The following is a 16,140-nucleotide window of genomic DNA, read 5'->3' on the forward strand; positions in this document are numbered from 1 at the left end:
CTCAAGGATTCTGGTTTTTATTCTAAGAGCAGCGGGAATCCTTTGAAGTTTCAAGCCAGCAACCGATATGATTAGCTCATAAGGAGGTACTATCAGACTTGAACCTAAGACATCCGCTTTCTGGTGGGAAGCCTCGTCCACAGACTTCTGACCTCTAAAAGCCCCAGAGAGCACACAGCCTAGAGCCAGAGCTCCCTTCCCAGGTGTGGATTCCTTTGAGTAAGCAAATTCCTTCCTGAAAATAAATGAGGCACTAGAAGAGGTTCATCATCACCTTCAGCCCACTGGGATGCCAACTATGACTTATTGGTTATTGTTATTACCACAATTACAGTTCACTGCGCACTTTCACATGCATCACACCTCGCCTCTGCTTGTGAATGATGAATTCGCTGGCTGCTGCCTCAACTCTCATTGGGGCTGCTCTGGAAGGTGGCACTTGGAGGCACTCAGAGACAATGCTGACCCATAAGGCCCCCACTGCTGTGCCTGATTTATAAGCATTAGAGACAGACAATAATAATGAAGCATCAGCTCAATGAGGCTCCTTCCTTTGTAAGAACCCACAGCACAAGCACTGGCTTTGGAGTCAGACTGATGTGGATCCAAAACCTATTGCCCTTGGACAAGTCATCTAGCCTTTCTCTAAACCTCTGTTTTCTCATCTGTAAAATGAGATTGTGTCGCATCAAAGCTTGGCTTTGGAACCAGACAAACTAAGGTCAGGCTCCATGGCCATGACTAATTGCCGGGTTATGTTGGGCAAGTTGCTTCACCTCTCTGAGTCTGATTCTCATTCTGTAAAATGAGGCTCATTAGCAGCCAATCCCAAAGGGTTGTAGTGAGAATAAGATAATATTATCCCTGTAAAATATTACTAATGTTATGGAAATAACATCTAGTTCAATGAAACATTTTAAGCACTTAATCAGATAATGCATTTATTTAACATATTAGCATGTGCCTGGCATAGAGTAAGTATTCAATAAATGGCAGTGAGGTTGGTGGTGGGGATGGTGGTGGGGACGGTTGTTACTTTTATCTCACACATGTTGCCCCATGGAATCTTCTCCTGCTGAGACAGGTACATTCACCATTACCATCACCCCATCCCATATATGTCAAAGAGCAACAAGCAGTGACTTCCATAAGGTCTTCAAAGACAAAACCACTCTAGACCCTGGCTCTCATGAGACCATCACATGGCCTCTGCTTTCAATTTAATGATAAAATAACCATGGTTACAGAGCAAGAATGTGTTGAAGTTTCCCTTCCTCATTAATTCCTCTGGGAAAAAAATCTCCCTAATCTTTTGCTAAGGCAGCAGACATTAAAGCTTCAACGCAGAGCTACAGAGAGACGGTTAGGAAAAGCTGGAAAAGCTGCAGATTCTCTTTTGCCCCTCACTTTAGAAGCTGGATTCCTTTCTCACTTTAGATCCCAAATCTGCTCCCATCAAGGCTGACATCGAACTGAGGGGCCTGCAGAAATCCCTACAAGCCAGCACATCCAGCCCCCAGCCTCAAGGCCGGGCTGCCCCCTAGCCATCTGAAAATACAGCTTTTCTTAAAATCTGGTAGCAGTGTCCCTGATGATCAGAAGCAGTTAGGATACTTGTGAAAAATACAAATTTCTACGCCTCCTCATCCCAGAATCCACTGAATCAGAATATCCAGAGGTAGTGATATATATGTGTGTGTGTGTGTGTGTGTGTGTGTGTGTGTGCGCGTGTGTGTGTGTGTATATATATATATATATTTTTTTTTTTTTTTGACAGAGTCATGCTCTGTTACCCAGGCTGGAGTGCAGTGGTGCGATCTCGGATCACTGCAACCTCTGCCTCCCTGGTTCAAGCGATTCTTCCACCTCAGCCTCCCGAGTAGGTGGGATTACAGACATGCACCACCACACTCGGCTAATTTTTATATTTTTAGTAGAGACAGGGTTTTGCAATGTTGGCCAGGCTGGTCTGGAACTCCTGACCTCAAGTGATCCGCTTGCCTTGCCCTCCCAAAGTGCTGGGATCACAGGTGTGAACCATGACGCCTGGCCAGTAGCTATATTTTTTAAACAAGCACTTCAGGTGGGCATTATGTCACAGTATTTTGCTGTATGGTGGGGAATTTTAGGAGAGAGAGAGAGAGAGTGTGTGTGTGTGTGTGTGTGTATACCTGTGTGTGTGATCTAAATGCAGCTTCTGGGGCCCCCCTCCAGGCCTAATGTATTCAAGTCCCAGGAAATGTGGCCGAGGAATCTGTATTCATAGCAAACTCTCCAGGTGAGTGCTGTGCTCAGTAGAGTCTGAAGATTCTTGCTCTAGAAAGAGAATTCCCCCTCCTCCCACATGTAGTTACTGCACAAAATCTTCATGAATTCAGCGCCTTGTTAAAGGACTCATTTTGCCTTGCAGCATCTTGTCAGTGCTGAAACAAAACAAGAGTAATTCTGCTTATAAGGAAATGCAGACCACTCTCAAATCAAGGTAGGAAAGCCTGGAGCCTGCAGCAGGTGCCTCCGAAGGCAGCCCACACTTACAGGGGCCACTGCAGGGATGCTCCTCCCCAGACCATGGAAAGTGGGACAGGAAAGAGGGAACTTTTTCCTTCTTATGACCTCACTAGAAACAAGCCCCTTTACTGCAGGGCCGGGCGTGGGAATTCAGGTATTTCTCCCCAACAATTATATACCATCAAGTTAAAATCTTCTAGTCATGGAGAAGTGAGGTGGGGAGGACGCGGTACAAGACTATGTCTCTTTCTCTCTACTTGGGTAATTTATAATGGAGGAGGTGGAGATCTTACCCCAATTTATTTGTTCATTTAGAGAATATTCTTTTTTTTTTTTTTTTTGAGATGGACTCTCACTCTGTCACCCAGGCTGGAGTGCAGTGGTGTGATCTCGGCTGACTGCAACCTCCATCTCTTGGGTTCAAGTGATTCTCCTGCCTCAGCCTCCCAAGCAGCTGGGATTACAGGCATGCACCACCATGCCCTGCTAATTTTTGTATTTTTAGTAGAGACAGGGTTTCACCACATTGGCCAGGCTGGTCTCAAACTCCTGACCTCAAGTGATCCACCTCCCTTGGCCTTCTAAATACTGGAATTACAGGCATGAGCCCAGCCCACTTAGAGAATATTCTTAGATTCCCCATCTGTGCCAGTAACTGCGCTAGGTTTGGGGAATTCATTAGCAAATGAAACAAACACAAACAAACACAGCCTGCCCTCATGGATCTCTGTGTCTGGGCTGGGGTTATAAACTTTTATGTGCCATAGACTCCTTGGTAGTCTGAGAAAATCTATGGACTCCTTTAAGAAAAATGCTTTTAAATGCGTACTATACAGTATAAAAGATCACTAAGAAATTCGTAGTAATCTAGATTGCTATATTACAATCAAATTTGGAATATGGTAATCTATGCGTGTCTTTCACAATGCGTTATATAACAAGACTTAACTCCTGTAATTTTGGATTAGTGTTGAGTATAAATGATTTTTCAAATTATCTCTCACAATTGTAATGTGATAGGCAAATACCTGCAATTTCCATTTTGGTTGAAAGTTAGTTCAACTAAAGATGCAACTTTTTTCCCATCTGCATTCATGGACCCCTTGAATTCTACCCATGCTCAAGAATTGCTGATCTAATGGGAGAGTCAAGCATTTCTCAGATAATCCTACAGCTAGCCATAACATCATGACTGTGAAGTGTTCTGAAAAAGAAGTAGGGGTGTTGGGTGCTAACCAACACTGAGTCTGATGTTTAAGCTGAGAACTTCAGGACAAAGGAGAATTGACTAGGCTATGAGTTGGAAAAGGTGGGAATGCTGTTCCAAGCAGGGGGAATAGTGTGTGCAAAGGTCCTGCGGCAGGAGGAAGCTTAGGCTCAGGGGCTCCAAGCAAAGACCAGTGCAGCTGAAACTCAAAGAGGGCCAGGTGGGGGGCACAGAGTGAGACAGGCAGACGGGTTTTTTGTTGCTTATTTCTGTCTCTTGCTTATCACTCCCTAATAACACCACTTTCTTTACCTCCCACCTCCTCCCTGAATCACTGTCAAAGCTCTTGAAAAGAAGAGAGCCATCTACAGGAGGAAGGTCAGGGCCACCATGCTCCCCCAAAGGATTCATCTGCAGGGATTAGGGCAGCTGGTTGGAATCCAAAATCAAGGCTATCTGGATATTGTTAATGGGGGCCTGCTTCTTACCCAAGTAGGATGAGGATTTGCCTACTAGGCCTAAGACCTCCAGGTCTAGTCCTGTGAGCTTCTGGGGAAACCAGCAAAGGCAGGACCTTTTCTATGGGGAGGGGTCTGGAAAATGGCCAGGCCTGCCTGCCTAAAGAAGTCCCAAATGCCACAGGGCTAGAAGCAAAGGGTTACCCACACATCATATTAAAAAGGAAAACGGTCTTACCACTCCCTCCCTCAGAGCCACAGATAAAGTGGTCAGACAGTTTTCCAAGCATTTGGAAGAAAGAAGGGGAAACAGAGTCAGAGAGAAGGTGCTAGACAATGGTGCTGAAAGCCCAAGTCCCTAAACAAGGATCCTGGAGAAAGGCATGAAGGGGGTGGTGGGCAGGGGTAGGGGCTCTTCATCCCCCTCTAGGAAGCTTGCCCAGGCAGAGTCACAGGAGGGGGTATCCATACGAGGATTCAGTCATCCACACCTAGAAATGGTTGGATGGCATGATGAGTTGATGGGTCACAGATGAGGAAACTGACCATCCAGAAGGGAGCTGCTTGCTCACAGACTGACAAGGGGTAAAATGGGTGTTGGGCTTCACTAAACTGCACCTGGTCCAGTGTTAAGTGTTGGGCATGGAGAGGAGTGTGGAAAGGTCCTAAGTCAATTCACCCTCCAGACAAAGAGAACAGTTTTACACAAATGAAACTGAGATCCAGAAAAGACGTAATCCCGACAATATGCAGAGGCGGAAGGTCAAAGTTAGACACAGGAGAGTTCAGATATACAGGACTTGCTGTGGACCGTAAGGCAGGGTAGGATTTAAATAGGTAGAAAAGAAACAAAGAGGACCCTCCAGGCAGGGATATGGCATGAGGAAAGGCCAAGAGGTGGGAAGAAATTCATAGAGTTCTGTGACTGGTGCCTTGATTAGAACCACCTCCCATGCCTGAATCCTGGAAGCTAGCAGGTGCCATGGAGCACTGGGGGCACCCTTTTCTTGAAAAGCAGACTCTGAGCAACTTGAAACCATCCTTTTGTGTTTCAGTGAGAGATCCAGCAGTACAAGTGCAGAAAGCCACATCCAACCAGTCCAGAAGAAGTCTAAAAAGTAAGCCAGGAGGGCAATGGAAGGAACCACGCAAGAGGGAATATGGTGACCACACCCTCTATCTTCCCAGGGGTGTAGAAATGACCCAATGCAGACCAGACTCCCTAAAGCCGTAGATGATGCTGAAGGACAAGGGATCCCCCAGGTTTAGGGACTCATAGTCAAGAAGCTGAGCAGCAATGCAGACAATGGCAAGAAACTCCTCCGCTGTGCCAGGCACCATGAAAAGCATTCTGTCTTCATTACCTTGCTTGTTCCTCAAAACCAATCCTATGAGGCAGGAGGACTAACCCATCTTACAAAGGAGCAGGCTGAAACCTGGCCACGTGAAATGTCTTGCCTGAGGCCACACAGCTAAGAAGTGGTGAAGCTGGACTTTGAGCCTGAATCTCCCAGCTCCAAATTCCATCTCCCGTCCTTAACATTTGCTGGGCTCCAGTGACCAGTTGTCTCACTGTGGGCTCATTTAATAGGGTCTGAACGACCATCCTGATGCTATTGGGAAGATCTGTCCTTTCTACATCCAGGGAGATGCTTAGGGAGGCTCCAGGTGAGGGCAGAGAACCCAGGTGGCTACAGGGAGTCCCCCATGCAGAGCACCTTGGGGCTAAGGGGGGCCAGAGTGGGACCCAGGTTACTAGGGGACATCCCTGGGCTCCATTCCCCAAGCCCTTCTTATCTGTGTCCACAGCCGCACTAATTGTGACATCAACATCCACTACAAGAGTGGGGTGTGTAACACCATGAGGGCCAAGTTTTACAGCGTAGCCCAGGAGGCTGGCTTCTGCCTGCAGGACAAGATGGAAATCCTCATGAAGTAAGCGCACATATATATCCATTCATTCAAACAGCATTCACTGGGTACCTACTATATGCCTGCCAGGTGCCAGGTGCTGGGGCTATATCACAAACAAGAAGAACTTGTTCTCTGTCCTCAGGGAGCTCACAGTCTTCTGGAAAATATGGGCAGAAACAAAATAACTGCATCCATAAATATATAGGTACAAATTCTAATCATTGTCCTACAGTAAGAGAACAGGGTGCTATGAGACAGAGATAGAGAGCATAGGTACCTAATCTAGATGGGGAAATCTGGGAAGACCTCTCTGAGGAGGTGACTTTTAGATGAGTCCTGAAGGATGAGGAAGAGCCAGCAGTGTGATGAGAAGGTGGAATGACATTCCAGGTAGAAGGAAAAGTGCATGCAAAGTCCCAAGTCCAGAAGGGACATGGAGAATTTGAAGAGGATGGACAAGTGGTAGATGAGGGCTGCATCACGCAAGCCACAAATGCCAGAGTTATGATGCGGGATTTGATCTTAAGAGCACCAGAAAGCCACTGAAAGTTTTTCTTCCCTGTTCTGATAACCCAATAACTTCTGCCCTTTCTAGCTTACTCCTTGACTCCAGAGACCATCCATCCCGATGAATGCATCTATACAACAAAGTTTGCATCATAGCCCGTTGCACTCTCATTTTCACAGCACTAATGGGCTGAATGCTCTGGGGCTAGGGTTGGAGAAGACTAATCCTTGCCCTTTCCTTCTGGGAGCTAACAGTCCAGTAGGGAAGATGGAAAGGTAAACAGGAAAGTAGCACACAGGGGTCTGGATGTTGTGGGAGGAAGCAGCCTGAACACAAAAGGGATGCCCCACCTGGCCCAGGACAGCCCTCAGAAAGGTTTCCTTGGAGGAAACAGCAGTTTCTTTTCTTTTCTTTTCTTTTTTTTTTTTTTTTTTTGAGACAGGGTTTTGCTCTGTTACCCAGGCTGGAGTTCAGTGGCATGATCATACCTTACTGCAGCCTCGAGTGATAAGTTTTTTGGTTTTTGGTTTTTGGGGTATTTTTACAGATAGGGTCTTGCTATATTTTCCAGGCTGGTGTCAAACTCCTGGCCTCAAGCAGTCCTCTCACCTTGGCCTCCCAAAATGCTGGGTTTGCAAGCATGAGCCACCACACACAGCTGGAAACAATATTTTCAGTTTAATAAACATAGATGATATTTCCAGGGCACTTACTATGTACCAGTCATGGATGTAAGAGCTTTGTATTTATGTATCATTTAATGCTCACAACAATCCTATGAGGTAGGTGCTATCATTAACTTATTTTGTAGATGATAAAAGTGAGCTCAGAGATGCCTCTTGTCAAAGGTTCTCCAATGGCTAAGTAGTAAAGCTAGAATTCAAACCCAAAGAGTCATGCTGAACAACTTGGAAAATATATTTCAGGATGTCATCCATGAAAACTTCTTCAACCTTGCTAGAGAAGCCAATAGTCAAATTCAGGAAATACAGACAACTCCTGCAAGATTCTATACAAGAAGATCATCCCCAAGACACATAATCATCAGGTTTTCCAAGGTCATAATGAAGAATGTTAAAGGCAGCTAGAGAGAAAGGGCAGGTCACCAAAAAAGGGATCCCCATGTGGCTAACAGCAGACCTCTCAGCTGAAACCCTGTAAGCCAGAAGAGACTGGGGGGCTATATTCAACATTCTTAAAGAAAAAAATCTTCAACAAAGAATTTCATATCCAGACAAACTAAGCTTCCTATGTGAAAAAGAAATAAGATCCTTTTCAGATAAGCAAATGTTGAGGGACTTAATCACCACCAAACTTGCCTTCCAAGAAATCTTGAAAGGAGCACTAAATATAGAAAGGAAAGACTGCTATCAGCTAATACAAATACACACAAAAATACCTAGGGAAGTGAAAGATCTCTACAATGAGAATTACAAAACACTGCTCAAAGAAATCAAAGACACAAACAAATGGAAAAACATCCCATGCTCATGAGTAGGAAGAATCAATATCACTAAAATGGCTATACTGCCCAAAGCAATTTATAGATTCAATTATATTCCTATCAAACTACCAAAAAGATATTCTTCACAGAACTAGAAAAAAATATTTTAAAAATTATATGGAACCAAAAAAGAGCCTGAATAACCAAGGCAATCTTAAGCAAAAAGAACAAAACTGGAGGAATCACATCACCTGACCTCAAACTATACTACAAGGTGACAGTGACCAAAACAGCATGATACTGGTACAAAAACAGGCACATAGACTGATAGAACAGAACAGAGAGCCCAGAGTAAGGCTGCACATGTATGGCCATCTGATCTTTGACAAAGGTGACAAAACAAGCAATGGGGAAAAAACTCTCTATTCAATAAATGGTGCTGGGATAACTGGCTAGCCATATGCAGAAGATTGAAGCTAGACCCCTCCCTTACACCATAAATAAAAATCAACTCAAGATGGATTAAAGACTTAAATGTAAAACCCAAAACTATAAAATCCCTGGAAGACAACCTAGGCAATACCATCCTGGACCTAGGAATGGGCAAAGATTTTATGACAAAGACACCAAAAGCAATTGCAACAAAAGCAAAAATTGACAAATGGGATCTAATTGAACTTAAGAGCTTCCGCCCAGCAAAAGATGCTATCAACCGAGTAAACTGACACCCCACAGAATGGGAGAAAATATTTGCAAACTATGCATCTGACAAAGGTCTAATATCCAGCATCTATAAGGAACTTAAAGAAATTTACAAGAGAAAAACAACCCATTGAAAAGTGGGCAAAGGACATGAACAGACACTTTCTTAAAAGAAGGCATACATTGTGGCCAAGAAGCATATTTTAAAAAGCTCAACATCACTGATCATTAGAGAAATGCAAATCAAAACCACAATGAGATACCATCTCACTCCAGTCAGAATGACTATTATTAAAAAGTCAAAAAATAACAGATGCTGGTGAGGTCATGGAGAAAAAGGAATCCTTATACACTGTTGGTGGGAGTGTAAATTAGTTCAACCATTGTGGAAAGCAATATGGCTATTCCTTAAAGAGCTAAAAGCAGAACTTCCATTTAATCCAGCAATCCCATTACTGGGTATATACTACCCAAAGGAATATAAATCATCCTACCATAAAGACACATGCATGTGAATGTCCACTGCAGCACTATTCACAATAGAAAGGACACAGAATCAATCTAAATGCCCATCAATGACAGACTGGATAAAAAATTGTGGTACATTCATACCATGGAATATTATGCAGCCATAAAAAAGAATGAGATCATGTATTTTTGGGGAACATAGATGGAGCTGAAGGCTATGATCCTAGCAAACTAACACAGGAACAGAAAACCAAATACCACATGTTCTCACTTGTAAGTGGAAGCTAAATGATAAGAATTTATGAACACAAAGAAGGAAACAACAGACACTGGAGTCTACCTTGAGGGGGGATGGTGGGAGGAGGGGGAGGAGCAAAAAAATAACTATTGGGTACAGAGCTTAATACCTGGGTGATGTAGTAATATGTACAACAAACCCCCGTGACACATGTTTATCTATGTAACAAATCTTCACATGTAGCCCCAAATCTAAAACAAATTTTTAAAAAGTCATGCTGGAAAAGTAGGGTGGAAGGGAGTTTCAAGGAAAAGCAACAGATAGGTCCCAGAAGTCAGAGGGGCACAGAGAGCCAGGGAACTGCCAGTAGTCAGGTGTGGCTGGGGCATACAGTGTTTGCAAGGTGATCAGAGAGCTAGAGAAGCCAGATTATAAAAGGCTGTGATAGCCCAGCTGTGGAGGTTGAGCTTTATCTCAGAGACTTTGTTTTTTCTTTCTTTCTTTCTTTCTTTTTTTTTTTTTTTTTTTTTTTTTATTGAGATGGAGTCTCGCTCTGTCGCCCAGGCTAGAGTGCAGTGGCGCAATCTCGGCTCACTGCAAGCTCCGCCTCCTGGGTTCACGCCATTCTCCCGCCTCAGTCTCCCGAGTAGCTGGGACTACAGGCGCCCGCCACCACGCCCGGCTAATTTTTTTTTGTATTTTTTTAGTAGAGACGGGGTTTCACCATGTTAGCCAGGATGGTGTCGATCTCCTGACCTCATGATCCACCCTCCCAAAGTGCTGGGATTACAGGCATGATCCACTGCGCCCGGCATCTCAGAGACTTTGATCATGACCCAAAGGATAAAATTCTGGAAGAGAAGGGATGGAAAGGATGAGGATAAAGCTGGAAAATGTGGGGGCTGAATAATTTAGAGCCTTAGAGAAGAATTTATTCTGAGTAAACTGAAAAGCTATTGAAAGCTGTAGGCAGTGGGGTGACATGGTGATATTTATAATATAAAGTCTCATTGGAGAGACAGAACATAGGCACAAGATGATAAGGGGAGTGGGGAAGAGAGGAACCAGCACAAGTTAACACCTACTGTGTGTCTGGCATGAATCTCAACAGTTTACACACATTATATCATTTAATCCTCACCTCTGGAAAATAGGAATCATTATTATTCCCCATCTTAGAGACTGAAAAGCTATGTAAATACAATCAGAAGTAGGAAGAGAATGAAAGCTAATAAAAAGTGACTAGATTTAACTGTGCTTAAGTAGTGCTTCAGGACCTTGGAGAGAGCTGTATCCTCTTGTGGCAAAAGCCAGAGCCTAAGTTAAAGATTAGCTGACAGGGTTAAGAAAAGCCTCATGAAGGAAAAGGTGTTTAAGTCAGATCTCAAAGGGCAGCTAAGATGGTTACAGGAGGAGGGGATCTCATTCTTCTCTCTCTTTCTCATACAACCTTGTAGGCGCCAAGAAGAGAGAGGTATCCAGAAGTTCCGTGCTTTTGTCCTTGTCTCAAATTTTCAAAAGGACATAGCAAAAATGAGACATCACATATCTGTAGTAAAAGGAGATGCAGAAGAAATTGCAGACCACTGGTAAATATCCTAAGAACCAGATAAGATGGTCCCTGGAAGAGAACAGGGTGTTGTTATTACAAGATCACTATTGATTCCACTGTCCTTCAAGGCATAGAGAGGCATTACTCCAAAACTGTCATTGGCCATCAACAGGATCCCCCACCCCCCAGAAACACTAAATCCAGAGCACAATCAGGCCCAAAACTCCTGGTTTCTGAAATCACAGATAATCCAACCCATTGCGTTCTCCATATTTACCTGCTGTTTGATTCAGACTTGCAAATAAGGACAACCTTGCCAGGCCCTGTGGGACAGGCAGATGAGGCATATCAACCTGAAAATTTCTACAGATTCTGAGGTCTATGGGGGTGATCACTGCATCCCCCCAAGTAACGTAATCCCTAAAAAGTGCAAAACCAGGCAGTCATATCCTAGAAACACTGTGCCACAGCATAAGGGTGATGATAAGTAACAACAAAAAAAGCAACATGAATTGAGTGATTACTGGATGGCAGTCACTACATAAGCAATTTTCATAAATTGTCCATTTTATCCCCCCCAACAAAATAATCCTGAAAGATACATATTAACCCCCATTTCACAAACAAGGAAACAGAGACTCAGAGGGGTAAATTCACTTGTCAAAGGTCACACCATCAGTTAACTGGTGAATTTAGGATTCGAACTCCTGTCTAACCTCAGTCTGTGTGCTCATTTGCAATACAGAATTGGAATCTACTGAACTGTGGTGTCCCGAACCCCATCCTAGCAGGGTGAATACACTAAGATTTAAGAGTAAGATGAGAAAGTAAAAAATGTACCCAGAATCCCTTCCATGAGTTTTATAATGTGAAACAGGAACTTACAAGCAGGTCCCTGGAGTCTTTGCAGAGTTGTTGGAACTTCTACACATCCTCACATCCCAGAACATCACTTTCTCACAAGCAATGTCTGGCCCTGAAGATACATGAGTCTTTTAAGAGGGACCCTCTTACGAAAGGGAGAAAAGGGTCTTCTGCAAACCCTCTTCCCTCTGTGGGAGGGAATTTGGGGGGAGGAGGAAAGGTTGTTATGAACTAACTCACATAAAGGTATTACAGAAGGAAATTAATGCTGGTCCTCCCACAGTGAGATTCAGCCCACAAATCTAATGGTGGAATTTCTGTCATTATTATGGGGGAAGTAATTGCCCTCCATAGTAACATTAAAATCAAGTCAAACAAACCACAGCGTCGTAAGGATGATGTTGAGTTGTAGTTGTTCATTCATCCAATTACTCATTCAGTTTTTCAAATGATAGTTATTGAGCACCTACTATGAGTTAGGCAGTATTCTAGCAGTCTGAATACTGAATAACTCAGACAAGTTTCCTCTTCTCCTCAACGGGACTTTATTCTAAACAAGGAGACAGGAATCAATATAATAAATATATATCCTAGAATATAAAGCAGTATGAGAAGCCCAAAACATATAATGGATGATCAGTTACATCTTCAAAATTTTCCACAATGGGCACATATATAGCAAGGGGTGAGGGAGTTTTTTTTTTTTTAAGAGATCTACCAGCCTTAAACCTGATCACATCTGAACCATCTCCTTAGGTTAGACCTAAGGTAGATTAGATCAAGTAGGTTCTTCAAGGATGGATTCCAAAACTACTCTCACATTCACATAACACTGAAATACACAAAGCTTTGACCCAACCTTGCTCATTAATCAAAGAGATAGAAAATACACACACACACCGTCGTGTGTGAGAGCCTCCAGCATCCTAGTAGACATCCCAAAGATGTGTGTACATCAACTCCGACCTGATTAACCCTCAGAAGAGAAGTTTCAGATCCCAAAGTCCATTCCTTTCTTCTAACATTTCACATTGTCTGATAGAAAAATTACAAATACATCCCTTGAAATCACACCTTTGTTTTATTTTTTAATGAAATGCAAGTCATTCTCCATCTTTTTCTACCCCTAAAAGTAAAGACAGGCCTGATCTGTGGGTCACAGAGGAAAGGTCCCTAGATAAAGAATACTGCTGCCCTGGAGACATCACAGAGAGCAGAAAGAGAAAGTGGAGATGGATGGCCAGAGGTGCTCAGATCTTCCAGCAGCTTCCTAACTTGTCCTCTCCTTTTGGAATTGAAGGTACTTTGATCTGTTGTCCAAACTGCCAGAGGATCTAAAGAACTTCCGCCCCGCCAAAAAGATCCTGGTGAAACTGCAGAAGTTTGGAGAAAACCTGGACTTGCGGATTCGACCCCATGTCCTCCTGAAGGTGCTGCAGGATCTGAGGATTTGGGAACTGTGCTCCCCTGACATCGCTGTGGCTATTGAGGTAAACACCACCTCCTTCCCCTCCACAGTGTTTCAGGTGTCCTCATTCAATCACCTCTCAACATTCAGGCACTGTTTAAGTGCTGGGGACACAAAGTCCCCTGCCTTTATGGAGCTCATATTCTAATAGTAGAGGGATTGTCCCATTACCTGGTTGCCCAACTCCAACTGCAAGGGACATTATATTCTATATAAATGGTACCCCCTGGAAACTCAGAGGCTTTGGGGTGGCATAAAAAATGGGCAGTAATAAGGAGTCCTTTATCTTGCTACTAAAAGTGTACTCCATGGACCAGCAGCATGGACCTCACCTGGGTGCTTGTTAGAAACGCAGAATTGCAGGTTTCAAGTCAATCTGCCAACTCCAAGTTTATATTTTAATGGGATTCCAGGTGTCTTGTATGCACAATACAGTTTGAGAAGCCCCGTATGTAAGTTAGAAGGGATCTACCTTAACTCAGGCAACTGGGAAGGTGACTTTTAAGGCAAGACCAGAATCATGAGAAGACGGCACCATGAAGAGAAAGGGAAAGAGCAGATCAAGAAGAGAAGACAGTGTGTGCAAAGATCCCAAAGCAGCACACGACTTGACTTGTTGGAAGAACTCACTGGCACTCAGTGAGTATGGAAGGAAGCAGGCAAGGAGTGCATAGTTCCCAGGGGATTGGAGAGGTCAGTCTGTGCAAACCTTTGAAGGTCAAGATAAAAATTTAGGAGCCACTAAACAGTTTTCCATTGTCATTCACCACCATCACCAGAAGAAGTTCCTGGTGTTTGTCAAAATGCATCAGCAATACAAGGACTCCACAGTAAGGTGTTAGCAGAGGTTAATGAAGTCACTTCTTTAATTTTATCAGACGGCATATGTGCATTTTAACAGGGCCTTCAACGCCTCCCTCCTGGTAAAGAAGTGACTCAAAAGGTCAAATTCCCAGGCCTTGACAGGCTATGGAGCGTTTGACATTTTCATACCAGGAGGGCCCTTCCACAGAATGACCTGGGTGTGTTAATGAGGGCAAGGTTAGGAGTGGAAGGAGGGGGATGACCTTGTAGACAAATTCAAATGCCAAGACTCTACTCCCCATGACCCGTGAGGCTCCTTCAGGAAAGATTCTAGCAGGTTTGGCCAAAACTAACTCTAGGGCAACTTCCACCTTCTATTTACCAGTTATGGGGTCCAACTTCCACTTGAAGTTATGGAGGACTTTGAAAAGCTAGTCCCTGCATGGGTAAGAAGAGGGAGTACTAGGGGCTCCTCTTTTATATGAGGTGAGTTCACAGCCCTGACTAATAAAATTTAGCAAGCTCTTTTCCTAGTGAGAACATCACAGAACTATTATTATTATTATTATTATTATTATTATTATTATCATTATACTTTAAGTTCTGGGATACATGTGCGTAACGTGAAGGTTTGTTACATAGGTATACATGTGTCATGGTGGTTTTCTGCACCCATCAACCCATCATCTACATTAGGTATTTCTCCTAATGCTATCCCTCCCCTAGACCCCCATCCCCTGACAGGCCCCAGCTTGTGATGTTTCCCTTCCTGTGTCCATGTGTTCTCATTGTTCAACTCCCACTTATGAGTGAGAACATGTGTTTGGTTTTCTGTTCCTGTGTTAATTTGCTGAGAATGATGATTTCCAGCTTCATCTATGTCCCTGCAAAGGACATGAACTCATCCTTTTTTATGGCTGCATAGTATTCTATGGTGTATATGTGCAACATTTTCTTTATCCAGTCTATCATTGATGGGCATTTGGGTTGGTTCCAAGTCTTTGCTATTGTGAATAGTGCTGCAGTAAACATATGTGTACATGTGTCTTTATAGTAGAAAGATTTATAATCCTTTGGGTATACATCCAGTAATGGGATTGCTGGATCAAATGGTATTTCTGGCTCTAGATCCTTGAGGAATCACCACTCTGTCTTCCAAAATGGTTGAACTAATTTACACTCCCATCAATAGTGTAAAAGCATTCCTATTTCTCCACATCCTCTCCAGCATTTATTGTTTCCTGACTTTTTAATGATCGTCATTCTAACTGGCATGAGATGGTATCTCATTGTGGTTTTGATTTGCAATTATCTAATGACCAGTGATGATGAGCCTTTTTTCATTTGTTTGTTGGCTGCATAAATGTCTTCTTTTGAGAAGTGTCTATTCATATCCTTCACCTACTTTTTGATGGCGTTGTTTATTTTTTTCTTCTAAATTTGTTTAAGTTCCTTGTAGATTCTAGATATTAGCCCTTTGTCAGATGGGTAGATTGCAAAAATTTTCTCCCATTCTGTAGGTTGCCTGTTCACTATGATGATAGTTTCTTTTGCTGTGCAGAAGCTCTTTAGTTTAATCAGATCCCATTTGTCTATTTTGCCTTTTGTTGCCATTGCTTTTGGTGTTTTAGTCATGAAGTCTTTGCCCATGCCTATGTCCTGAATGGTACTGCCTAGGTTTTCTTCTAGGGTTTTTATGGTTTTAGGTCTAACGTTTAAGTCTTTAATCCATCTTGAATTAATTTTTGTATAAGTTGTAAGGAAGGGATCCAGTTTCAGCTTTCTACATAAGACTAGCCAGTTTTCCCATCACCATTTATTAAACAGGGAATCCTTTCCCCATTGCTTGTTTTTGTCAGGTTTGTCAAAGATCAGATGGTTGTAGATGTGTGGTGTTTTTTCTGAGGCCTCTGTTCTGTTCCATTGGTCTATAAGTCTGTTTTGGTACCAGTACCATGCAGTTTTGGTTACTGTAGCCTTGTAGTATAGTTTGAAGTCAGGTAGT

At 43.2% G+C, this 16,140-nt stretch overlaps 1 protein-coding gene and 1 long non-coding RNA gene across 12 annotated transcripts in view; one reads left to right on the plus strand and one right to left on the minus strand.

The window, feature by feature from the left end:
* Window positions 1-16,140, plus strand: part of CCDC60 (coiled-coil domain containing 60) — a 206,312-nt gene that overhangs the window by 182,982 nt on the left and 7,190 nt on the right. For 5 of the 8 annotated variants that reach the window (NM_178499.5, XM_017018911.3, XM_017018916.2 and 2 more), the window contains 5 exons: window positions 2,411-2,482; window positions 5,229-5,291; window positions 5,983-6,108; window positions 10,905-11,036; window positions 13,164-13,353. In NM_178499.5, the coding sequence (NP_848594.2) occupies window positions 2,411-2,482; window positions 5,229-5,291; window positions 5,983-6,108; window positions 10,905-11,036; window positions 13,164-13,353 (583 nt within the window). Of the gene's footprint in view, window positions 1-2,410; window positions 2,483-5,228; window positions 5,292-5,982; window positions 6,109-6,682; window positions 6,776-10,904; window positions 11,037-13,163; window positions 13,354-16,140 lie in introns of those variants that run through there. The other 3 variants (XM_017018912.3, XM_047428445.1, XM_017018913.3) reach the window with 3 other exon arrangements.
* PRKAB1-AS1 (PRKAB1, TMEM233 and CCDC60 antisense RNA 1) overlaps window positions 1-16,140 on the minus strand; it is a 280,141-nt gene that overhangs the window by 129,724 nt on the left and 134,277 nt on the right. The gene's annotated exons all lie outside the window — the stretch shown is intronic.

The sequence above is a fragment of the Homo sapiens genome, chromosome 12, assembly GCF_000001405.40.
Source record: "Homo sapiens chromosome 12, GRCh38.p14 Primary Assembly".
NCBI lineage: Eukaryota > Metazoa > Chordata > Mammalia > Primates > Hominidae > Homo > Homo sapiens.